The sequence below is a fragment of the Homo sapiens genome, chromosome 2 (assembly GCF_000001405.40).
Source record: "Homo sapiens chromosome 2, GRCh38.p14 Primary Assembly".
Lineage (NCBI taxonomy): Eukaryota > Metazoa > Chordata > Mammalia > Primates > Hominidae > Homo > Homo sapiens.
Window position 1 is genome coordinate 70,013,164 of NC_000002.12, and position 24,636 is coordinate 70,037,799.

The 24,636-nt window shown below is 42.6% G+C and overlaps 1 protein-coding gene and 1 long non-coding RNA gene across 36 annotated transcripts in view, besides 1 other annotated feature; both read right to left on the reverse strand.

Annotated features, from left to right (window-relative positions):
• Positions 1 to 24,636, reverse strand: part of ASPRV1 (aspartic peptidase retroviral like 1) — a 154,659-nt gene that overhangs the window by 80,447 nt on the left and 49,576 nt on the right. For 4 of the 10 annotated variants that reach the window (NR_170375.1, NR_170634.1, NR_170638.1 and 1 more), the window contains one exon: positions 4,852 to 4,968. The exons of 3 other annotated variants lie outside the window; for them this stretch is intronic. The gene's annotated coding sequence lies outside the window, so the exon portion shown is untranslated. Of the gene's footprint in view, positions 1 to 4,851; positions 4,969 to 18,969; positions 19,093 to 24,636 lie in introns of all 10 variants that reach the window. 3 more of the 10 variants (NR_170635.1, NR_170637.1, NR_170639.1) reach the window with 1 other exon arrangement.
• Positions 1 to 24,636, reverse strand: part of PCBP1-AS1 (PCBP1 antisense RNA 1) — a 125,946-nt gene that overhangs the window by 50,901 nt on the left and 50,409 nt on the right. For 21 of the 26 annotated variants that reach the window (NR_183091.1, NR_183092.1, NR_183093.1 and 18 more), the window contains 2 exons: positions 18,970 to 19,092; positions 16,834 to 18,768 (listed from right to left, as the gene is read on the reverse strand). The exons of 3 other annotated variants lie outside the window; for them this stretch is intronic. This is a non-coding gene — a long non-coding RNA (PCBP1 antisense RNA 1). Of the gene's footprint in view, positions 1 to 16,833; positions 18,769 to 18,969; positions 19,093 to 24,636 lie in introns of those variants that run through there. 2 more of the 26 variants (NR_033872.1, NR_183096.1) reach the window with 2 other exon arrangements.
• Positions 15,928 to 16,799: an enhancer, noted in NCBI's record as "H3K27ac hESC enhancer chr2:70256223-70257094 (GRCh37/hg19 assembly coordinates)". NCBI's record gives its function as "activates a minimal SCP1, AML or CMV promoter by ChIP-STARR-seq in primed H9 embryonic stem cells {active_cell/tissue: H9 hESC(primed)}" and the evidence as "EXISTENCE:reporter gene assay evidence [ECO:0000049][PMID:30033119]".

A 24,636-nucleotide genomic window follows, 5' to 3' on the forward strand; every position in this document is an offset into this window, starting at 1 on the left:
ACGAATGCATGATGTTACAAAATCAGGCATGAATAAAAGACCCATTCAAAGTGCAAGATAGAGCAATGAAGTTTAATATAGAAAAGTATGAGTTCACTGATATGGATTCAACTAATTTTTTACACACATTACAACTAATTTTTCAGAAACTGCCATTTGTCTAATTTTGATGACATAACAAAGAAGAGTATCCACCATGATCTAAAAAGGTTATTAAAATACTATTTTTTCCAACTCCAAATCTGTATGTAGCTGGATTTCCTTCATCTACTTCAATCAAAACAACATACACAACAGACTGAATACAAAAACAGATACGAGAATCCAACTATCTTCTATTAAGCCAAACATTAAAGAGAGTTGCAAAACTATAAAATGATACTACTATTATCTACATTTTTTTGTTGTTTTAGAGAAGACAGCTGTTTTTATAAAAAGTATGTTGGCCTGGTGCAGTGGCTCATGCCCGTAATCCCAGCACTTTGGGAGGCCAAGGTGGGTGGATCACTTGAAGTCTGGAGTTCAAGACCAGCCTGGCCAATACGGTGAAACCCCATCTCTACAAAAATTAGCCGGGTGTGGTGGTGAGCACCTGTAATCCCAGCTACTCAGGAGGCTGAGGCATGAGAATCACTTGAGCCTGGGAGGCGAAGACTACAGTGAGCTGCAATCGCACCACTGCACTCCAGCCTGGGCAAAAGAGTGAAACTCCGTCTCAAAACAAACAAACAAACAAACAAAAAAACAGTATGTTCACATGTAATGGATTCATTGTTGTTACTTTTAAATCATCAGTTTCTAATATGGCATTTTTCCAAAATACTAATTTTAATGTTTATCATATTTCAGACATGGTAAATATTGTTAAAACCACTAAATAAAAGTTATTTGGGGTTGTCTATAATTTTTAAGAGTGTAGAAGAGCATATCATTGGATTTGTCAATGATTTCTTGAATATAACACCCAAGGCACAGGCAACAAAAGAAAAAATAGATATATTGGACCTCATGAAAATTAAACACTTTTTTGCATCAAACAGCACTTTCAGCAGAGTAAAAAAGGTGATGCACAGAATGGGGGAAAATATTTGAAAAGCATATCTCTAGTATGGCTTAACATTGAGGATACATAGAGAAATTTAAATATTCCACAACAGAAAAACCAAACAACCCCATTCAAAAAAGGGCAAAGGAATTGAACAGACATTTCTCCAAAGAAGATATACAAGCACAATAAGCCCACAAAAAGATGCTAGAAATCATAAAAAGCATGGGGAAAAAAAAGGAGACATATGGGACTACATCAAACTTAAAAATTTCTGTGCAACAGAGGATACAATTAGGAGTGAAAAGGCAGCCGGGTGCAGTGGCTCACACCTGTAATCCTAACACTTTGGGAGGCTGAGGCAGACAAATCACTTGAGCCTAGGAGTTCAAGAACAGCCTGGGTAATATGGTGAAATCTCATCTCTACAAAAAATAAAAAATTAGCCAGATGTGGTGACATGTGTCTATAGTCCCAGCTATTTGGGAGGCTGAGGTGGGAGCATCCCTTGAGCCAGGAAGGTCGAGACTGCAGTGAGCCACATTCACGCCATTGTACTCCAGTGATAATAGAGCAAGACCTTGTCTCAAAAAAAAAAAAAAAAAAAAAAGAAAAAGAAAAAGAGTGAAAAGACAACCCACAGAATGGGAAAAAACATTTGCAAATCTTATATCTGAAAAGGATTTACTATCCAGAATATATTTTTAAAATTCCTACAACTCAACAACAAAGGGCAAATGCCTTCATTTTTAAAATGGGTAAAGGACTTTGAATAGTCTCCAAAGAAGGGACACAAATGGCCAACAATCATATGTAAAGATGCTCAACATCACTAATCATTAGAGAAATGCAAATCAAAACCACAAAGAATTATCACCTCACACCCATTAGGTTGGATACTATCAAAAATTTAAAAACAGACCCAACTATATGTGGCCTATGAAGATTAACTTCACATTTAAGAACACACATAGAATGAAAGTGAAAGGCTAGAAAAAGACATTTCAGGCAAATGGAAACCAAAGAGAGCAGGGGTAGCTATACTTAAAACAGACTAAGTAAAAACTGTAAAACAAGACAAAGAACATCATTACATAATGACAGAGGATCAATTTATCAAGACAATATAACAACTGTAAATATACAGCTGACCCTTGAACAACACGGGTTTGAACTGCACAGGTCCACTTATATGCAGATTTTTTCCAACCAAATGAGGATCAAAAATACAGTACTCACAGGATGGGAAACCCATGTACATGGAGGGCCAACTTTTCATATACAGAGGTTTCGCAGGGCAACTGTGGGACTTGAATGGTGCAGCTTTTGTTACACACAGAGGTACTGGAAGCAATCCCACACCAAGGGACAACTGTAAATACATCCAACATCAAAGCTTCTAGATACATAAGGCAAATATCAATACATCTAGAGAGAGAGAGATTATAATACAATAATAGTAGGGGACTTTAGGCCAGGTGTGGTGGCTCACACCTGTAACCCCAGCACTTTGGGAGGCTGACGTGGGCAGATCACTGGAACTCAAGGGTTCAAGACCAGCCTGGCCAACATGGCGAAATCACATCTCTACTAAAAATACAAAAATTAGCTGGACATGGTGGCTCCCACCTGTAATCTCAGCTACTCAGGAGGCTGAGGGAGGAGAATCACTCGAACCCGGGAGGAGGAGGTTTCAGTGAGCCGAGATTTTGCCACTGCACTCCAGCCTGGGTGACAAAGCAGGACTCCATTTCCATAATAATAATAATAGTAGGAGACTTCAATAGTCCACTTTCAATAAAGCCAGAAAATCAAAAAGGAAACATCAAACTTGAACTACACTTTAGACCAAAGGAAACTAACAGACATAAAGAACATTCCATCCAACAGCAGCAGAAAATACATTCTTCCCAAGTGCACATGGAACATTCTTGAGGACAACTCACATGTTAGGCCACAAAACGAGTCTTAATAAACTTTAGAAGACTGAAATCATACCAAGTATCTTTTCTGACCACAATGGTATGAAACTAGAAATAATAAAAAGAATTTTGGAAAATTTCACAAATACAAAGAAATTGAACAACATGCTCGTGAACAATAGCCAGACAAGGACACTACAAGAAAAGAAAATTATAGACCAATGGGACTACATCAGCATAGATACAAAAATCCTCAATAAGGCCAGGTGCAATGTGGCTCACACCTGTAATACCAGCACTTTAAAAGACTGAGACAGGAGGATTACTTGAGCCCAGGAGTTTAAGGCCTGCAGTAAACCAAGATTATGCCACTGCACTCCAGCCTGGGTGACAAAGCAAGACCAGCAAACCAAATTCAACAACACATTAAAAAGATCATCCAGGCCAGGCTCATGTCTGTAATCCCAGCACTTTGGGAGGCGAAGGCAGGCAGACTTGAGGTCAGGAGTTTGAGAGCAGCTTGGCCAACATGGTGAAGACCCATCTCTACTGAAAATACAAAAACTAGCCAGGCATGGTGGCAAATGCCTGTAATCCCAGCTACTCAGGAGGCTGAGGCATGAGAATTGCTTGAACCTACGAGGCAGAGGTTGCAGTGAGCTGAGATCACACCATTGTCCTCCAGCCTGGACAACAAGGCAACAGAGTGAAACTCTGTCCCCACCAAGGGAGAAAAAAAAAAAAGATAATCCATTATGATCAATTGGGATTTATTCCTGGGATGCAAGGATGGTTCAACATATACAAATCAATAAATATGATACACCACATTAACAGGAGGAAGGACAAAAGCCCTATGATCATCTCAATTTTTTTTTTACACGGAGTCTGGCTCTGTCACCCAGGCTGCAGTGCAGTGGCGTGATCTCAGATCACTGCAAGCTCCGCCTCCCGGGTTCATGCCATTCTCCTGCCTCAGCCTCCCAAGTAGCTGGGACTACAGGTGCCCACCACCATGCCTGGCTAATTTTTTTGTATTTTTAGTAGAGACAGGGTTTCACCATGTTAGCCAGGATGGTCTCCATCTCCTGATCTTGTGATCTGCCCACCTCAGCCTCCCAAAGTGCTGGGATTACAGGCGTGAGCCACCACGCCCAACCTGATCATCTCAATTGATGGAGAAAGGTATTCAACAAAATTAAACATCCTTTCATGATTAAAAACTCTCAATAAATTAGGCACAGAAGGAATGGACCTCAACACAGTAAGGGTCATGTACGATAAGCCCACAGCTAACATCATATTGAATAGTGAAAATTGAAAGTTTTTTTCGTAAGATTAGTAATAAGACAAGAATGCTTATTTCAGACACTTCTATTGAAAACAGTATTGGAAATCCTAGCCAGAACAATTAGTCAAGAGAAAGAAATAAAATTTGTCCAAATCGCAAAGGAAAAAGTTAAATTGTCTGTCTGTTGATGACATGATCTTTAGATAGACAATAGTAAAGACTCACCAAAAAACTGTTAGAACTGATAAACATATTCAGTAAAGTTGCAGGATACAAAATCAACATGCATTTGCTTGTCTGTTAGTATTTTTTTAAAAAAAAGAAACAAAATCAACATGCAAAATTCAGTAGTGTTTATATACAATAACAACGAACTATCAAAAAAATGAAGAAAACAATCTCATTTACAATAGCTATTTAAAAATACTTCGGAATAGGCTGGGCGCAGTGGCTCGCACCTGCAATCCCAGCACTTTGGGAGGCCAAGGTGGGAGGATCGCCTGAGCTCAGGAATTTGAGACCACACTGGGCAACATGGTGAAACCCCATCTCTACTAAAATACAAAAAATTAGCCAGGTGTCATAGTGCGTACCTGTAGTCCCGGCTACTCAGGAGGCTGAGGCACGAGAATCACTTGATCCCAGGAGGCGGAGGTTGCAGTGAGTCGAGATCACGCCACTCCAGCTTGGGCTACAGAGTGAGACTCCACCTCAAAAATAAATAAATAAATAAAATAAAATAAAATAAAATAAAATAAATGAATAAAAAATACTTAGGAATAAATTTAATCAAGGAAATGAAAGATCTGTACATGGAAAACACTGTTGAAACACTGACGAAAGAAACTGAAGAGGACACACACAAAACATGGAAAGATATGCTGTGTCCACGGTTTGGAAGAATTAATATTAAAATGCTCATACTACCCAAAATGACCTACAGATTCAAAGCAATCTCTATCAAAATACTAATAAAATTCTTCACAAAAATTGAAAAAACAACTCTGAAATTCCTATGGAACCACAAAAGACCCCAAATAGCCAAAGCAATCTGCAGCAAAAAGAACAAGGCTAGAGGTATCATACTGTCTGTCTCCAAAATATACTACAAAGCTGTAGTAACCAAAACAGCATGGTACCACCAAAAAACAGACACATAGACTAAAGGAACAAAATAAAGAACCCAGAAATAAATCTATGTATTTACAGTCAACTGATTTTCAACAAAGGTCCCAAGAACACACACTGGGGAAAGGACAGCCTACTCAATAAATGGTGCTGGAAAAACTGGATATTCAAATACAGAAGAATGAAATTAGATGTTCATTTCACACCATATACAAAAATCAAATAAAAGTGGATTAAAGACAAACATAAGACCTGAAACTGTAACACTACTAGAAGAAAGCATAGGGAAAAAGCTTCATGACATTGGTCTGGGCAAAAATTTTGGATATGACTCCAAAAGCTCAGGCAACAAAAGCAAAATAGGATTACATCAAACTGAAACCCTTCCACACAGTAAAGGAAACAATACAGTGAAGAGAGAACTTACAGAGTGAGAGAATACATTTGCAAACCATGTATCTGAGAAGGGGTTGTTATGATCTAAAGTGTAGATAAGAAACTCAAACAACTCAGTAGGAAGAAAACAAATAACCAGAGTTTTAAAATGATCAAAGGACTTGAACAGACATTTCCCAAAATACGACATACAAATGGCCAACAGGAATCTGAAAAGGTGCTGAACTGCACTAATCACCAGAGAAATGCAATTCAAAACAATGACATATCACCTCACTCTTGTTAGAATGGCTATTGCAAAAAAGAGGAAAGATGACAAGCATTGGCAAGGATGTTGAGAAAAGGAAACCTTTGCACATTACTGACGCAAATGTGAATTAGTACAGCCATTAAGGAAAACACTATGGTGGTTCCTCAAAAATTTAAAAGTAGAACTACCATATGATCCAGCAATACCACTACTGGGCATATATCTAAGGGAAATGAAATCAGTATGTTGAAGAGATATTCACACTCCCATATTCATTACAGCATTATTCACAATAGCCAAGATATAAAATCAATGTAAGTGTCCATCAGCAGATGAATGGATAAAGAAAATGTGGTACATATACACAATGGAGTACCATTCATCCTTTAAAAGGAAGGAAATCCTGTCGTTTGTGACAACATGAGTGAACCTGGAGGATACTATGTCAAGTGAAATAAGCCAGGTACAGAAAGACAAGTACCACATGACCTCACTTATATATGGAGTATAAAATAGTTGAACTCATAGAAATAGAGAGTAAAATGGTGGTTACCAGAGGGTGGCGGGTGGGGAGATTGGAAGGATGTTGGTCAAAGGACACAAAATTTGTTAGACAGGAGGAACAAGTTCAAGAGATCCACTGTACATCATGCTGACTACAGTTAGTAACAATATATTGTATATTTGAAAATTGCTGAGAATAAATTAAGTGGTCTTATCACAAAAAAATGGGAAGTATATGAGGCAATGCATATGTTCAATAGGTTAATTTAGCCATTCCACAATGTGTGTGTATATATATATATATCAATATATATCAAAACATCATGTTGTATACCATAAATCCATACAATTTTTACTTGTCAAAACACACATTTTTTAAAAATCAAAAATAACAAGTGTCGCAACGATATGGGGAAATTGAACCCCTCATGTAGAGTTACTGGGAATGCAAAATGGTGTAGCTGCTGGAGAAAACAACATGGCAGTTCCTCAAATAATTAAAAATATAATTACCATATGATCTAGCAATTCCACTCTGGTTATATATACAATTGAATTGAAAGTAGAGTCCTGAAGAGGTTATTTATTCACTCATGTTTGTTGCGGTATTATCACAATAGCAAGCAAGGTACAAGCAACCCAAATGTCTATCAGTGATGAATGGATGGACAAAATGTGGTGTATACATACAATGAAATGTTGTTCAGCCATGAAGAGGAAGTTCTGAAACATGCTACAATATAAACATTTAAGATGTTGTGGGCCGGGCACGGTGGCTCATGCCTGTGATCCCACCACTTCGAGAGGCAGAGGTGGGCAGATCATCCGAGGTCAGGAGTTTGAGACTAGCCTGGCTAACATGGTGAAATCCCGTTTCTACAAAAATACAAAAAATTAGCCGGTGTGGTGGCACGCATCTGTAATCCCAGCTACTTGGGAGGCTGAGGCAGGAGAATCATTTGAACCTGGGAGATGGAGGTTGCAGTGAGCTGAGATCATGCCATTGCACTCCAGCCTGGGCAAAAAAAACAAAAAAGACATTGTGCAGAGTGATGTAAGCCACACAGGGAGATGTGCTATATGATTCCACTTACTTGGGGTGCCTAATCAGATGCATGGAGAACAGAGGGTACTAGTGGTGATCAGGGGCTGAGGGAGGGGAGAATAGGGAGTTTTCATTTCATATGGGTAGTTTCAATTTTCAAGATGAAAAGAATTCTAGAGATAAAGAGCGGTGATGGTTGCACAATATAAATGTACTCAATACTACTGAACAGTATACTTAAAAATTTTATGTGTATTTTACCACAGCTTTTTAAATTTTTAAATTATATAATGGAAGCTGTATGTCCACTGAAGAATGCTCACCATTGCTCCCTCCCCCAGTCCCTGGTGGCCACCATTCCATTCTTATGTATGTGGAATATGCATCACATAGGTAGAATCACATGGTGTTTTTCCTTCTGTAACTGGCTTGTTTCACTTGGCACAGTATTCTTTAGGTTTATCCATGTTGTCACAGATAGCAGGATTTCCTTCTTTTTTAAAGTTGTATAGTATTCCATGGTGTGTACATACCATTTTCCTCATCCATTGTTCTGTACGCAAGATGAATAAATTCTTTTTTTTTTTTTTTTGAGACAGAGTCTCGCTCTGTCACCCAGGCTGGAGTGCAGTGGCGTGATCTCAGCTCACTGCAAGCTCCACCTTCCGGGTTCACGACATTCTCCTGCCTCAGCCTTCCCAGCAGCTAGGACTACAGGTGCACACTGCCACGCCCGGCTAATTTTTTGTATTTTTGGTAGAGACGGGGCTTCACTGTGTTAGCCAGGATGGTCTCCATCTCCTGACCTCATGATCTGCCCACCTCGGCCTCCCAGAGTGCTGGGATTACAGGTGTGAGCCACCACGCCCGGCCAAGATGAATAAATTCTAGATATCTGCTGTCCAATATAGTACCTATAGTTAACAATACGGTATTGTGCACTTTAAAATACGTTAAGAGAATACTTTTTTTTTTTTGAGACAGAGTCTCTCTCTGTCACCAGGCTGGAGTGAGGTGGCACGATCTCGGCTCACTGCAACCTCCGCCTCCCGGGTTCATGCGATTCTCCTGCCTCAGCCTCCTGAGTAGCTGGGACTACAGGAGTGTGCCACCATACCCAGCTAATTTTTTTTGTATTTTTAGTAGAGATGGGGTTTCACCATGTTAGCCAAGATGGTCTCGATCTCTTGACCTCGTGATCCGCCCACCTCAGCCTCTCAAAGTGCTGGGATTACAGGTGTGAGCCACCGCACCCAGCCAATACATTTTGTTTTGTTTTGTTTTGTTTGAGATGGAGTCTGGCTCTGTCACCCAAGCTGGAGTGCAGTGGTGCGATCTCGGCTCACTGCAAGCTCCACCTCCCAGGTTCATGCCGTTCTCCCGCCTCAGCCTCCTGAGTAGCTGGGACTACAGGTGCCCACCACCATGCCCGGCTAATTTTTTTGTATTTTTAGTAGAGACGGGGTTTCACCGTGTTAGCCAGGGTGGTCTCAATCTCCTGACCTCATGATCTGCCTGCCTTGGCCTCCCAAAGTGCTGGGATTACAGGCATGAGCCACCATGCCAGGCCTAATACATGTTGTCTTAAGTGTTCTTACCAAAACACACACACACACTTACACACACACACACACACACACACACACACAAACACAAGCAGGCCAGGCACAGTGGCTCATGCCTGTAATCCCAGCACTTTGGGAGGCCAAGGCAGGAGGATCACTTGAGTCTGGGATATTGAGACCAGCCTGGGCAACATAGTGAGACCTCAACTCTACAAAAAACAAAAAAAAAGTTAGTGGGGGCATGGTGGCACATGCCTGTAGTCCCAGCTACTTAGGAAGCTGAAGTGGGAGCATCATTTGAGCCTAGGAGGTCAAGGCTGCAGTGAGCTGAGATCGCACCACTGCACTCCAGCCTGGATGACAGAGTGAGACCCTGTTTAAAAAAAAAATAACACAAGCAAATTTTTGGAGGTAATGGATAAGTTTAGCATTTTGGTTGTGGAGATGGTCTCATGGGTGTATGCACATGTTCAAACTTGCCAAGATGTATACTCATCAAGACACATAAACTAAATGCATACTATTTTTTGTGTATAAATTATAACTCAATAAAGCTAAAAAAAAAATGAAGAAGGAAAAAGGGTATAAAAGGGTCCTGAGACCAAAACTGCTGATACAGGACATCCATTTCTGCCTCCTGGTTTTTAGGCCCAGTTTCCAACACACCTTCCCCTCCCATGCTTCTCCACAGAATACAGAATCATAAAATCCTAAAAACAAAATCAAAATCAAAACTAAAGAAGAGATAAGCCAGAAAGCACAATGAGCTAGAAAGAGAATAAGATCCACTCTTTCTTTTCAAAATAATTTTCCTTTAAGGGCAGGGCCTGATAAGTAGTCCCGCCAGAACAGGCTGGTTTCACCGACAACCCCTCCCCACTGCCACATGTGGGAGAAGAAAGATGGGGGCGAGGGCCTGAGCAGGAGTTCAGGTGTCTTGTCTTCTTCACCTTCTGAATCTGATGTGATACAACAGCCAATCAGGCAAAGCAGGTGGGGACATTTTTTATTAGTCATGATTTGCAGGGGAGGGAAGAGAGGTCTATGCCTTGCTGATTACTAGTAAATAAAAGACAGGGCTGAGAGCAGGGTGACCTCCCGGCTGTAGCCCAGGGTTCCCTCCATTGGGCACTCTCTCTCTGCAGTAGATGCCTCTCTGAAGCTGCCTCTCTTCTCCACTCAGGCCTAGAGGTCCACCATTAAAAGATGCATTGTTGGCCAGGCATGGTGGCACACACCTGTAATCCCAGCTACTTGGGAGGCTGAGGCACAAGAATCACTTGAACCCCGGGAGGCAGAGGTTGCAGTGAGCCAAGAATGCAGCACTGTACTCCAGCCTGGGCAACGGAGCAAGACTCTGTCTCAAAAAAAAAAAAAAAGATGCATGGTTGTACTTGCTAATAAAGTATTTTCTTGCATTTATAAACCATGTAGATTTCTTTTTTAAAAGTCCTTTTTTCTATTATTTTGGATTGTTGGTCTTTTTATAATTGTTTGTAAGTGAAAGTGACCCACTGTATTACTTTTCAATTGCAAAATTAGTTTTTAAATATTAGAAAGAAAAAGTTAATGAAATAGAAGACAAACAATAGAGATGACAAAAAAGGTCCTCAAAGAAAAGACAGACCACTAGTAAAACAGATCATAAAAAAAGGCTGAGGCCAGGCACAGTAGCTCACACCTGTAATCCTAGCACTTTAGGAGGCGAGGACAGGAGGACTGCTTGAGGCTAAGAGTTCAAGACCAACCTGGCCAACAAAGCAAAATCCCGTCACTATTAAAAAAAAAAAAAAAGGCTAAAGTATTAAATAATATTAGCATGAAAAATGGAAGATAAACTCAAGCTTTAAAATATAGTAAGACTATGAAAAATTTATTCCAATAATTTAAAAACTTTTTTTGAGAAAAAAATAAAAATTACCAAAATTGACTGGATGAGAAGGAGAATAGTTTGGGTAATACTTAATAGTGGCAGCAGAAGTGATATACTAGGATCTCCTCATAAAGTGCAAACCCGTCAAGGCAGTCAGAACTAGTAAGTCGTTCATTAGTTGCAGTCTTCTGTGACAAAAGAGATGGCTCTTGCCAGCCTGGGCCTGTCACTCTGGTTTGGAAGGAAAGGAGATGCTGAGAGAACAGAGAGGGGCCGGTACTGCCTTGTGGAGTCAGATTACTCCAGGGCTGAGCCAGGATGCCAAGAAATCTCCTACTTGCCTCCCCAAGGGGCAGCACCCCTGTCAATCTGGCTCAGCCCCAAGGTTGCCCTGACCACAATCCCCTTCTCACTAACCCTCTTCCTCCTTCCCTCCTCTCCTCACTTCTTCTCCCTCTTTCTCAATCCTCTTTCCTTTCCCTGCCTCCCCTATTTTCTGTTGGAAGACAGTTGTAGCTCCAGGTGTGACTGGTGTCATTGGGTGCCACACCACTTCTCCCCACATTTCGCCCCCTCCCTACCCCAACCTCCTGAAACTTCCAGACAGAGGAGTTGCAGCAAATAGGTGGAGTTCTAAGGCCTAACCCTCAGCCTGTCTTGCCCCATTCCCCAAACTCATTCCTAAGTCTGATCTCATGGACACAGAAGAGGTCTAGGAAGGGAAGGGTATGCAGTAAAGGGTGACAGATGTCATAGCTCTGAGCCCTGGTACTAGAGTTAATGCAAAAGATCCACCTTTTGAACCTTGCACTGTCTGTAGCTCAAATAAATGTTCCACATATATAAACACTATTGTGTCTCAAATTTGTCAATGTGATTGGATGTATAAAAATTAAATATATTTAAATTTGTTATTATTTTCATACCAGCTTATAACCACTTGTATTATCTCAACAGACACTAGACAGACACTAGAAGCACCATCATTATGACACGCATACACGCATGCATGTGAATGTGTGTGTGTTGGGGATTAGAAATGCATTAAATATTTTAATGATAGAAAGAGTGATCTCCTTCAGGAAAAGTATGGAGCAGGAGATGGAGGCTCATGCTTGTAGTTCCAGCTACTCAGGAGGCTGAGGCAGGAGAACCACTTGATCTCAGGAGCTCAAGGCCAGCCTGGGCAACACAGCAAGACTCCATCTCCAAAGGAAAAAAAGAGAGAGAAAAAGAGAAAAGAGGAGGAGGAGGAGGAGGAAGAGAAGGGAAAGAAAAGGATGGAGATGACCAGTGTACCCAACATTGCTGTGGTCAAGTTCTGATGTCTCCTTATGGTTCTATCCATGGGGTGGGAGGAAAGGAGGCCACAACAGAGAGTTGGGTTTATGTAGAAAGGATTCTTTTGTGGATCGTGCCAATGATTTACTCCTGGACTGATGCTAGCCCTTAGCAGCCCCTCAGGCAGGTGCTTTGGTAAACCATCTACCTTGCTCAAAGCCTGGAAGGTGGGGTGAGATTTGGAGAGCAGATACTCTCTGTGAACTCCAGCTTCTGCTGACACAAATGGTCTGGAGTAGCCTGACTATCCAGATACACAGATACTGATGCTGCAATGGCTGTGACCATACCAAAGGCCAGGACACTTGACCAGGCATGTCCAAATGCATTAATGGACACAATGGGTTGAAAGAATTAAAATATGGACCATACCAGAAGTTTGTGCTCCTTACCAAAGTCAGCCTCTGGTAAGAATATGGATTGGAATCTAGCATCAGAGAACTAAAAACCTGTAAGGATGAGAAAGAGATGCCACATCATGGGCACTTCCCAGTCATCCTCTAAGATATGGAACAACAGCCAGGCACGGTGGCTCATGCCTATAATCCCAGCACTTTGGGAGGCCAAGGTGGGTGGATTACGTGAGGTCAGGAGTTCAAGACCAGCCTAACATGGTGAAACCTTGTCTCTACTAAAAATACAAAAATTAGTCAGTCATGATGGCGCACGCCTGTAATCCCAGCTACTTGGGAGGCTGAGGCAGGAGAATCACTTGGGCACTCCAGCCTGGAAAACAAGAGTGAAACTCCATCTCAAAATAATAATATATATACATATGGAATGAGAAAAGGATGCTCACTTTCACTACCTTTATTTAACATAGACCTGGAAGTCCTAGCCAGAGCAATCAGAAAAAAAAAAAAGAAATAAAGGGCATCCAGATTGGAAAGGAAGAAGTCAAATTATTCTTGTTTACAACAACCTAAAAACCTAAAGACTCCACCAAAAAACTGTTAGAAGTCAACAAAGAAATTCAGTAAAGTTGCAGGATACAAAACCAACATACGAAAATCAGTAGCATTTCTATACAACAGCAAAGAATCACAAAACAAAATCAAGAAAGGAATTCCACTAACAATAGCAAAAAAAAATAAAATAAAATACTTAGGTACAAATTTAACCAAAGTAAAAGATCTCTACAATAAAAACTATAAAACAATGATGAAAGAAATTTAAGAGGATACAAAAAATGAAAAGATATCTCATGCTCATAGATTGGAAAAATTTATACTGTTAAAATACCCATATTACCCAAAGCAATCTACAGATTCAATGCAATCTCTACCAAAATACCAACGACATTCTTCACAGAAATAGAAAAAACAACCCTAACATTCCTAGGGAACCACAAAAGACCCCAAATAGCCAAAGCAATCCTGAGCAGAAAGAACAAAACTAGAGGCATCGCACTACCTGACTTCAAAACATACTACAAAGCTATAGCAGGCTGGGTGTGGACACTCACGCCTGTAATCCCAGCACTTTGGGAGGCTGAGGCAGGAGGACTACTTGCATCCAGGATTTTCACAACAGCTGGGCAACATAGTGAGATCCCGCCTCTACAAAAAATTTAAACATTAAAAAATTAGCTGGGCGTGATGATGTGCACCTGTAGTCCCAGCTACGCAGGAGGCTGATGTGGGAGGACCACTTGAGCCTGGGAGGTCCAGGCTGCAGTAAGCCAAGATCCTGGCCACTGCACTCAGCCTGGGCGACAGAGCAAGACCCTGTCTCTCAAAAAAAAAAAAAAAAAAAAAAAAAGCGGGGGGTGGAGCAGGATGTAAGTTAGTATAGCCACTGTGGAAAGTAGTATGAAAGTTCCTCAAGAAACTAAAAATATATCTACCATATGATCCAGCAATCCTACTGCTAGGCATAATACATACAAAAGAAAGGAAATCAGTATATTAAAGAGATATCTGCACTCCCATGTTTACTGCAGCAGCAGTCACAATAGCCAAGATGTGGAATCAACCTAAGAGTCTATCAACAGAAGAATGGATTAAAATGTGGTATATATACAAATACAGCCTAAAAAAGAATGAAATTCTGTCATTTGCAGTAACATGGATAAAACCAAGGCCATTATGTTAACTGAAATAAATCAAGCACAAAAAAGGTGATCTCATGGAAGTAGAGAGTAAAATGGTGGTTACTACAGGCCAGGAAGGGTAGGAGAGAGACTGATGAGAGGTTGGTTAATGGTTACAAACATATAGTTAGATAAAAGGAATAAGTTCTAGTATTCAATAGCACACAAGGGTGACTACAGTTAATAATCTGTCATGTTTCAAAATAACTAGAAGATTTAGAATGTTACCAACACAAAGGAATGACAAGGGTTTGAGGTGATGGATATGCTAATTAACCTGATTTGGTCATTATACATTGTATGTATCAGAATATCACATGTACCCCCATAAGTATGTTCAATTATGTAGTCAAGAAAACCCTACAGGGTAAGAAAGAGGTGCCACATCATGGGCACTTCCCAGTCCAGGGTACTGTAATTAAAGGTCCCTAAGAAAGGTCCTCAGATCCTCCAACATATCTAGTGAAATGATACCTAAAACCCATAATTAGAACTCTCGCTTCCTTTCACTGCAGTTCCACTAGGTTGGGCCACATTGGGTGAGGCTGGGTGCAGCTAGAACCAGCATTATTCTGAGCTGTTGGCACTCTTTTCCACCCCAATACAGATGAAGATACTGAGAACGGAGTGTGATGGGGTAGGTGTGGAAATAGATGGAAGTAATGACGAGAAGACAACTTTCTAGTATTACCCACAATTGATTCATTTCAGGTCTCTCTCCCATGAACCCCACTGAACTTATTTGCGCTGAGTCTTTGGAAATTAGCAAGCACCTTCTTCAACGTACTCACCCCTCCATGCCACCTGAGACCTAGGAAATAGGGTGCTCTCTGCATGGGCTCTCTGATGGCTCAAGGGCTATAAATTATGATGTGATTAACTCAAAACCTTCCTCTCTGGGTGCCTCTGGAGGTGACATAGTAGGAACCCTGGTGCTGTGGTTTGAATGCATCCACCAAAGTTCATGTGTTGGAAACTTAATCCCCAATGCATCAGTGTTGAGAGGTAGGATCTTTAAGAGGTGATTAGGTCATGAGGGCTGTGCTCTCACAAATAGATTCATGTCATAGTCACAAGACTGGGTTCCTGATAAAAGGATAAGTCTGGCCCCCTCCTCCCTTGCGCATGTATACTTTCTTGCCCTTCTACATTCCACCATGGGATGACGCAACAAAAAATAGCCAGGCGTGGTGGCACGAGCCTGTAGTCCCAGCTACTCGGGAGGCTGAGGCAGGAGAATCATTTGAACCCAGGAGGCGGAGGGTGCAGTGAGCTGAGGCCGTGCCACTGCACTCCAGCCTGGGCGACAGAGAGACTCCGTCTCCAAAAAAATAAATAAATAAAATAAATTCTCCTTCCCAAAATATCAACCCTGGCACCTAAACTTCCACCACCAGAGAGGCCCTAAAGTTACTCAATGGCTCTCTGTTAAAATACAAATATCCCTCAACTCAGAGTAGGGGGTAGGGGACTGGTGTGATGTCATTCGAGAGCAAACCCATTGTAAGCCTGCAATTTCTGTATCTGGGGCTTAGGAGTGGCAATCCAGCAGAAAGAGGATTGGGGCAGGGAAGTGGCAGGTAATTACATTGAATATTTATTTGGAATAACTTTGGCCAAGGGACTGACAGAAATTTGGGATGCTAAAGACATATAAGTGACGCCCTGACTACCATTCCAGCAAGAGAAACAAGCTGAGTGCAAAGACATTGGCAATAAAAACAAAAACAAAAACAGGAGTTCGGCCAGGCACGGTAGCTCACACCTGTAATCCTAGCACTTGGGGAGGCTGAGGTGGGTGGATCACAAGCTCAGGAGATTGAGACCATTCTGGCCAACATGGTGAAACCCCATCTCTGCTAAAATACAAAAAATGAGCCAGGCGTGGTGGTGCGCACCTGCAGTCCCAGCTACTCAGGAGGCTAAGGCAGGGGAATCACTTGAACCCAGGCAGCAGAAGTTGCAGTGAGCCGAGATTGTGCCACTGCACTCCACCCTGGTGACAGAGCAAGACTCCGTCTCAAAAACAAAACAAAACAAAATAGGAGTCCTGGACTTAGTGGAGGACATCAGATTCAACTCCCTCCCCTACTTGGCCACTTTGCTTGTCAGAAGCAGGTAAGCACACCAAGGCTGAGCTAAGAAATATCCACAAGGGGTCTTGTGTCCTCAGAATTCTCATCAAGGACCCCTCCCTAGAGGAGGCTGAGGAGGGAGTACAGGTCCTTGGGCCACAAATGGTGGGAGAAAGGCACAGTGAATTGTGAGCTGTCTTATCCAGTCACATGATCTCTTTTTCTCCCTCCTCCTCTGGTCTCTCCCTCTCCACCCTTCCCCTCCCTTTGCTCTGTTTTCAAGATTTGGTTAAAATAGATGCAAACTCCAGTCTTTTCTATTTTTAATACCGAGCCATTACATAATCCACACAGTAATTGCTGACTTGAAAAACTATTGGCAACATTAGAAAATCCCCAGAGTTTTAAACAGGAAAAGGATTACTACAGCACAAAAGCCTTTGGTAGTTTCACTGACTAGTAAACCATTGGTAATCGTCACTTGCCAGTGGAAGTCACATGGGCCCTGGGAAACACTCCCCTATCTCAGGGAAAGCAGGCTGGGGGAAGGGATGAAATGCAGCCTCAGCTGGGAGGAGGAGGCTGCTGGTGGGGTGGTGTGCTGAGCTCTGAGTGGGGCTCCAACAAGTGACCTCCAGCCAAAAGTGCTGAAGGAGTGAGCTTCAGGTTGTCCTCGGGCCACCTTTTACTGCTTTTGTTTCTTGCTAGGGAATGAGTGAAGTCTCCAGCGGCCCAGTCCTTTCCCTCTCGGTTTCCCACCTTCCTACAGCCTCCAACATATTCCTGTAAGAGCCTGAGGGAGGGTGGACTACTCCAGTTAAATAGATTTTATAAAGACACAGGAGCAGGGAAGGCTGCCTGTTTATCACAAAGACCTAATCCACTCCTCTGCAAGGCTTTCCAGACATTAGGCCAGAACCACACTATTTAATTCTTCAATAAAATGATCCAATGAAAGTTTAAGAACCAGTGGTTTGGTTTACAACCAAGCAGAAGTTAATTATCTAATTGAGACAAAATTCTCTGTATGTGTATGTGTGTTGGGAGTGTGGGCAGTGTATAAGATACAGAGGGGACAGGGACTACTCTCCCTGATTTTGCCACTTCTGCCACAATCCTAACCCCAATAATCAAGGAGGATCTGAATAACCACATGGCCATTCATTCAATAAACATATGCTGAATGCCACATACCAGACTAGGTGCTGGGGATGCAACACAGCAAAATCACTGCCCTGCTAGAACTGCTAGGTCAGTGAAGGAGAGACATTAATCAAAATATTACATAAACATATCATTACAATGATAATGAAGGCTTATGAGGGGAAGGTACAGGGCACTAGGAGCATTTAGAATAGGGGTATCGGATTGGGTCTGAGGGTTCCTAGATTATCCTTAGGACTCCAGGGTTCTTTTAAATCAGTACCCCTTCTTCTTCCCCTCACCCCACTCCTTCCTTGCTTCCTGTAGTTAATATTTACTGGTTTTTTTCTATGAGGAGGATAATGCCAGGTTCTTCACATGCATGATCTCATGTGATTCTCATGACAAACTTACAATTCAGCACTTTATGACAAAGGATTTGCTGAGAAAGGCTGATCCACATTTTGCAAGGAGAACTATATAAAATTTATGGCACTGATTAGTTAAAACTCTTCTGGCTGCAGGTGGCAAAATTCCACATCAAATTTTCAAAAGGAGGGGTAAAAAAAGGGAAAACCTGAGGGCTGGGTGCAGTGGCTCACACCTGTAATCCCAGCACTTTGGGAGGCCGAGGCGGGCGGATCATGAGGTCAGGAGATCAAGACCATCCCGGCTAACATGGTAAAACCCCGTCTCTACTAAAAATACAAAAAATTAGCTGGGAGTGGTGGTGGGCGCCTGTTGTCCCAGCTACTTGGGAGGCTAAGGCAGGAGAATGGCGTGAACCCGGGAGGTGGAGCTTGCAGTGAGCCGAGATTGAGCTACTGCACTCCAGCCTGGGCGACAGAGCAAGACTCCATCCAAAAAAAAAGAAAACCTGGGCTCATGTCAATGAAATGATGAAATGTTCAGGGTTAGACTAGCTTAAGGCACAGTTAGATCCAGGTGCTCCAAAGATGTCATGTGGCCTTCATCTTGCTCCATCTCACAGCTCAGCTTTTACTTATGCTTGTTTCATTCTCAGGCAGCGTTTCCCTCAGGGTGGCAAGATGGCCCTCAGCAGCATAAGGCTTACATTTTACAGGCTTGGGAACCCACCTGGAAAAGAAATGAGGTCACTTTCTTAACAGTTCCAACAGAAATCCAGAGTCGTGATTGGCCTGGATTTGGAACCATGCCCACGTCAATTGCTATTCTCTGACCACAGTCATGTGTCCTCCAAGGGACTTATCCCACCAGAATCTGGTCTGAGAGTGGGGAAGGATGTGGTACCCAAAAGGAAAATCAAAGTGTTCTTACCTAAGAATGGAGACTGCATGCTGGGCAGTCAAAGCCCACTGATCTCTATCGTCCTCAAAGTTTGGAATTACAGTGGATGTTAAGACTACGAGATAAATTCTTCTATCAACCAGGTCCTCCTCCCTAAGGAATGAGCAAGAGTGGTTTGTTCAGTGTGGCACTAGCTGCATTCACTCTGGTCCTCCCTCAGCTGCTCAGACACCTTGGCTTAGGATAGTGATTGGAGTTAATATTTGCTTAAGACCAAGTGTGGTGGCTCACAATTATAATCTCAGCATTTTGGGAGGCTAACACGGGAGGGCTGCTTGAGCACCAGAAGTTCGAGATCAGCCTAAGCAACCTGGCGAGACTTGGTCTCTACAAAAAAAAAAAAAAATGATCTGGCCATGGTGGTATGCACCTGTAGTCTCAGCTACTCAAGAGGCTGAGGCAGGAGGATTGCTTGAGCCCAGGAGGTTAAGGCTACAGTAAGCCATGATTGCACTACTGCACTTCAGCCTGGGTGACAGAGTGAGATCCTATCTCAAAAAAATTTATTTTGCTTAGGTCCTTGCTGAGAGCAGTCTTCAAGTCCCAAGACTTTGTGTAAGACTTTGCCCAACCTCTTTACCCCTAATGATATATCCTACTCAGCAATGGTGTGGCTGAGGAGGCTGCAGCTCTCCGACTTTTTTAACTAGCATCCTCAGGTTCTGTGTAACTCATAAGGCAGGAAGAGTATAACAAAGTCCTTTGTTGGGAAGTTTGCTGTCCCCCTTTGGAGTCTGAATAGAGAGAGGAATAACATGATGGTTCCTGAAGCATACACAGAGCAGGATCTTGGGGACCACTGTTAAACACTGTATGAGTTACACAGCACTACAGCAATCAGATATCAGCTACAACCACCCTGTCCTTGGGCATGTTTTAAAAACTCCCTGAACCTCCCTATCCCAAGTTCTATGAGAAGTCCAAAGGCCTTCCCAGAATTTCTGCAAATCCCAGGAGCTAATGCTCTTCATAGTCCCTTTGGCTCTGACTCCATTTCTTGCTGGACTTCTTATCTCACTCACTTCTCACCTCCTGAGGCGGATCTCTTCCTCTGCTCTAAGCTGTCCCAGATACAGGACTCAGTCCCCCTTTTCCATGCTTTATCAAACAGAAAACACACACACACACACACACACACACACACACACACACATATATGCACTCACTCAAAACACTGTGTGCCCATCAGACTTTCCTGAAGGTATGAAAAGACTGAGGGGTTATTACCACACTGCTTGGCCCCTTTATCCTCTTCAAATGCTTCTCACATTGTGTTTGTGTATTAGGGCGGGAGAGAAATCCCCCTTACATTATTCAAAACAACTTAGCTCTCCACTCCCTTTTCTCTGACTTCCAATGACCCATAGCTGGAGTCACCCATAGTATGAACCATCCACTCCAGGTTCTACCCTTTCTACCCTTGATCAGCACCGAGGAACAAAAAGAAGTTTTGAACTTTCACTCACTACCACCATTCTGTAGTGGTAAAGGGAATGGAATAATTTTTTCCCCTATGAATATGAATTAAGCCACCCCTCTTTAGAAGAAGAACTGGCCACAGCCATTTTTTGTTTTAAATAAATTTCTATTATATCTCTCTATATCAACTCTCCAGCTCTAAGTAAAGCCTATGTAACAAGCCTGAAACAATTCCCATACACTCACTGGCAGTCTTCTGACACTGAGAATGTGATTAAGGAAAGCAATGCTGGCCGGGCGCGGTGGCTCACGCCTGTAATCCCAGCACTTTGGGAGGCCGAGGCGGGCAGATCACGAGGTCAGGAGATCAAGACCATCCTGGCTAACACGGTGAAACCCCGTCTCTACTAAAAATACAAAAAATTAGCCGGGCGAGGTGGTGGGCGCCTGTAGTCCCAGCTACACGGGAGGCTGAGGCAGGAGAATGGCGTGAACCCCGGGGGGTGGAGCCTGCAGTGAGCCGAGATCGTGCCACTGCACTCCAGCCTGAGCGACAGCGAGACTCCATCTCATAAAAAAAAAAAAAAAAAAAAAAAGGAAAGCAATGCTTCTGTCCCTAAGACACTGGCTATCTTTTATTTATTTATATGTTTTTTGAGACGGAGTTTCGCTCTTGTTGCCCAGGCTGGAGTGCAATGGCATGATCTCAGCTCACTGCAAACCCTGCCTATAATCCCAGCACTTTGGGAGGCCGAGGCGGGCAGAACACCTGAGGTCAGGAGTTCAAGACTAGCCTGGCCAACATGGTGAAACCCCCGTCTCTACTAAAAATACAAAAAATTAGCCAGGCGTGGTGGCGCATGCCTGTAGTCCCAGCTACTCAGGAGGCTGAGGCAGGAGAATCACTTGAACCCGGGAGGTGGACGTTGCACTAAGCAGGGATTGCGCCACTGCACTTGAGCCTGGGCGACAGAGCGAGACTTTGTCTCAAAAAAAAAAAAAAAGAAAGAAAATCAGATTTTATTTTGAAAAGCAGGTCCAATACTTAAAGAACCTGGTGGGAAATCCTTCTGTGGTATGATACCACTGCCCACAGACACCTCCAATATAACTGTTAGATCATCTGTATGAGACCAACAATTCTCCCAAGGCAGGATGTGGCGGTTGCTGTCAGGAGCTTCTTCCAAAGCACTAACATTCCTGCCCCCACAGACCCTCTGAAGAAGGTAGTCTCTTCTAATCCTTACCCAGTCAGAATTATGGGCTTTGAGTTGGTGTGCTAAGGGTAAAAAGGCGGCCAAGAATACTCACCAGGAAACACAGGCAGGACCAGGTGACAGGCCCCAGACCCCAGTCCCTCTGGAGCCAGAACCAGCACCTCCCAGTTTGCTTTACCCTTGTAGAGAGTGTAACTTCCAGCAGGGCTAAAAATCACAAATGGCATACAGCCAGAGGGCAGGGCCAGGCTGTGTAAGCAAAAACCAGAGATGTGCCAGAGAAGTTCCGGATTTAGAATCCAAGCAATGAGAAGGAAGGGAGGTGAAGAGCCTCCTACAGCGGACCTATAAAGTAGGGGCCCTCTCTGGGCGAGATCCAGGTTGCCAGTAGGAAATCTCCCACCTCCATGAGCCTCCTCAATTGTTCCAGGGACTCTCAGCAGCCTGATCTTTTAGGAGGAGAGATCCAGTGACTGGGACTCAAGTGATACCAGCTTACCAGTTCTGAAAACACTCCTCTGTGGAATTACCAGCTCACAGAGCAGAAAAGTCCTATGGTGCCTCCATTTCCTCCCTCACTATAAAATCTGAGCAATATGACTTGTCCCTAAACAACCCAGCAAAACTACAGTGTGAGGCTGTGGGAAGACTGTTTCACACAGCTCAACATGCCTCAAGGAAAAAGATTCCACTAGTTCTTCACTCACTCACTCATTTACTTGACCATCATTTTCTGACTGCCCACCAAGCACTGAGGTGCAAGATGCCTTGCAGGATTCTTAGCAGACACCAGTCTAGCAATTGCAAGAAAATTTCTGTTAACACTGACCCTGTTGATTCTGGACTCCTCATACGAGATAATTACATTTTGTGTTTATGCTATCTGAATGAGTCAGTTAAATAATTTAATCCCATAAGTATGACTGCCAGTTGGAAAACTGAAGTGACTTAAGGGACTCTTGATTTTCTACTCATTAAAGTAGCTCCTCTCAGGATCTCTATCAGCTAGCAAATACACAAGTGGAGGTACCATGGAATTCCAAAAATAAACAAACCTAATGACTTCACAAAATTTTTTTTTTTATTTAACTAACTCAAGCCCTTCTATCACTGGTCTAAGTCAATATGCTTTTACTGTATTACTTTCATGCTTTTACTGTATTACTTTCAAAGAAATGAAGCCAGAATTCAATAAAGAAATGAGAAATGAACTTTGAGGCTGAATATCTGAGTTTGAATCCTAATTCTGCATTTTCAGATATTCAGCCTCAAAGTTCATTTCTCATTTCTCCACTCCCTGTCTCTTAGAGATGAATTTTCCAAAGAGGGGCAGACAGAGCAAAAGCTGCAGCCTGGAGCTAGGAGCAGTGAAGAGGTGGGCAGAAAAAGAGACACCCTGTTACTTGAATATGGTGGGTGGGCTGAAACCGGACAAAATTATTTTACCTTGGTGGGCTTGGTAATGAAGAGCCATTGTAGGCTCTTGAGCAGATAGTGGTGATAAAAGCAGTGATCAGGGCAGGTTTTATGTTGTAGCATGCAAAATGAATGAAGCAGAAAATGAAATTAGAGAAACCAGTTAGTAAGCTGTAATGGCAATACAAGTATGAAATAATAAGGTAGCAACTAGCGTGGGCGGGTGGGATTATAAAGAAATGGATCAATCTAAAGACACTTTATAGAATAAGTGCTGATTTGACAGTCTCTCAGGCAGGAAGAGGAGAACAGAGTAACAAGTCACTGATAATGCCAAGGTGTTTGTCTACACCAAAATTGGAAGTGTACACATAAACAAAAAACAAAAAAAAGTAATAATCTAAAACACACAGGATTCTGTTACTTAAGTCACTATAGTGTCACTTTCTAAAGTAATTTTTATTTTTTTCCAAGACAGGGACTCACTCTGTCACCCAGGCTGGAGTGCAGTGGCACGATCATGGCTCACTGCAGCCTCGAACTCCTAGGCTCAAGGGATCCTCCCACCTCAGCCTCCCAAAGCGCTGGGATTACAGGTATGAGCCACTGCGCCTGGCCTAAAGTAATTTTTAAATGCTGTTGTGGCTGTTGTTTATGATTACTGCCCACTCCTACCTCTCCCCAGTCTCTACTCTTCAGGTTCTAATTGAGACCACACACTCCTCTCCAGTCTCTCTCAAGGAGACTTCTGGCAGGAAGGGAAGAACCAAAATACCACCTCCCCTCCAAGCCTGTCAAAGGTGCCAAATCTAGGGAGTCTCCACTCCCACCTATTGCTTCTACTTTAGAAGTAATTTTTTTCTCTAAATGGAAATCTCCAGCCTATGGAACATTTCCTCTTGGATGTACCTCTAGCTCTTCAAATTCAACTCCAGGAAACAAATCCATCTTCCCCTTCTAGAGGAGTGGCTCCCCTTTCCAGTTAGCCCCATTTCCATCATGATAGGTAACCTTCCAATTTTGGTGTAGATAAACACCTTGGCATAATCAGTGACTTGTTAGTCTGTTCTCAAACTCCTGAGCTCAAGCAATCTGCCTGCCTCAACTTCCTAAAGTGCTGGGATTACAGGCATGAGTCTTGCTCTGTCACTCAGGCTGGGGCACAGTGGCGTGATCTCAGCTGACTGCAACCTCCGCCTCCTGCATTCAGGCCGTTCTCGTGCCTCAGCCTCCTGAGCTACTGCTGGGACTACAGGTGTGCACCACCACTCCTGGCTAATTCATTTTTGTAAAAACCTCCCAAAGTGTTGGGATTACAGGCATGAGGCACTGCGCCTGGCTGAAATAGCCTTTTTCTATATGCTTTGTTAGTCACATTTGAATTTATTCTTCTATGACTTTGGCCCATTTTTTTGTGGTATTTTTTTTCCTATTAACGTGTAAAAGCTCTGTGTACATTAGAGATATGTTGAAAACTGTTTTTAACCAGTTTGTCATGTACTTTTGCTTATGCTGTTACTTTTTTTTAGCTAATTCATCACACATTTTCCTTTATAGTTTCTGCCTTTAGTGCCATACTTCAAAA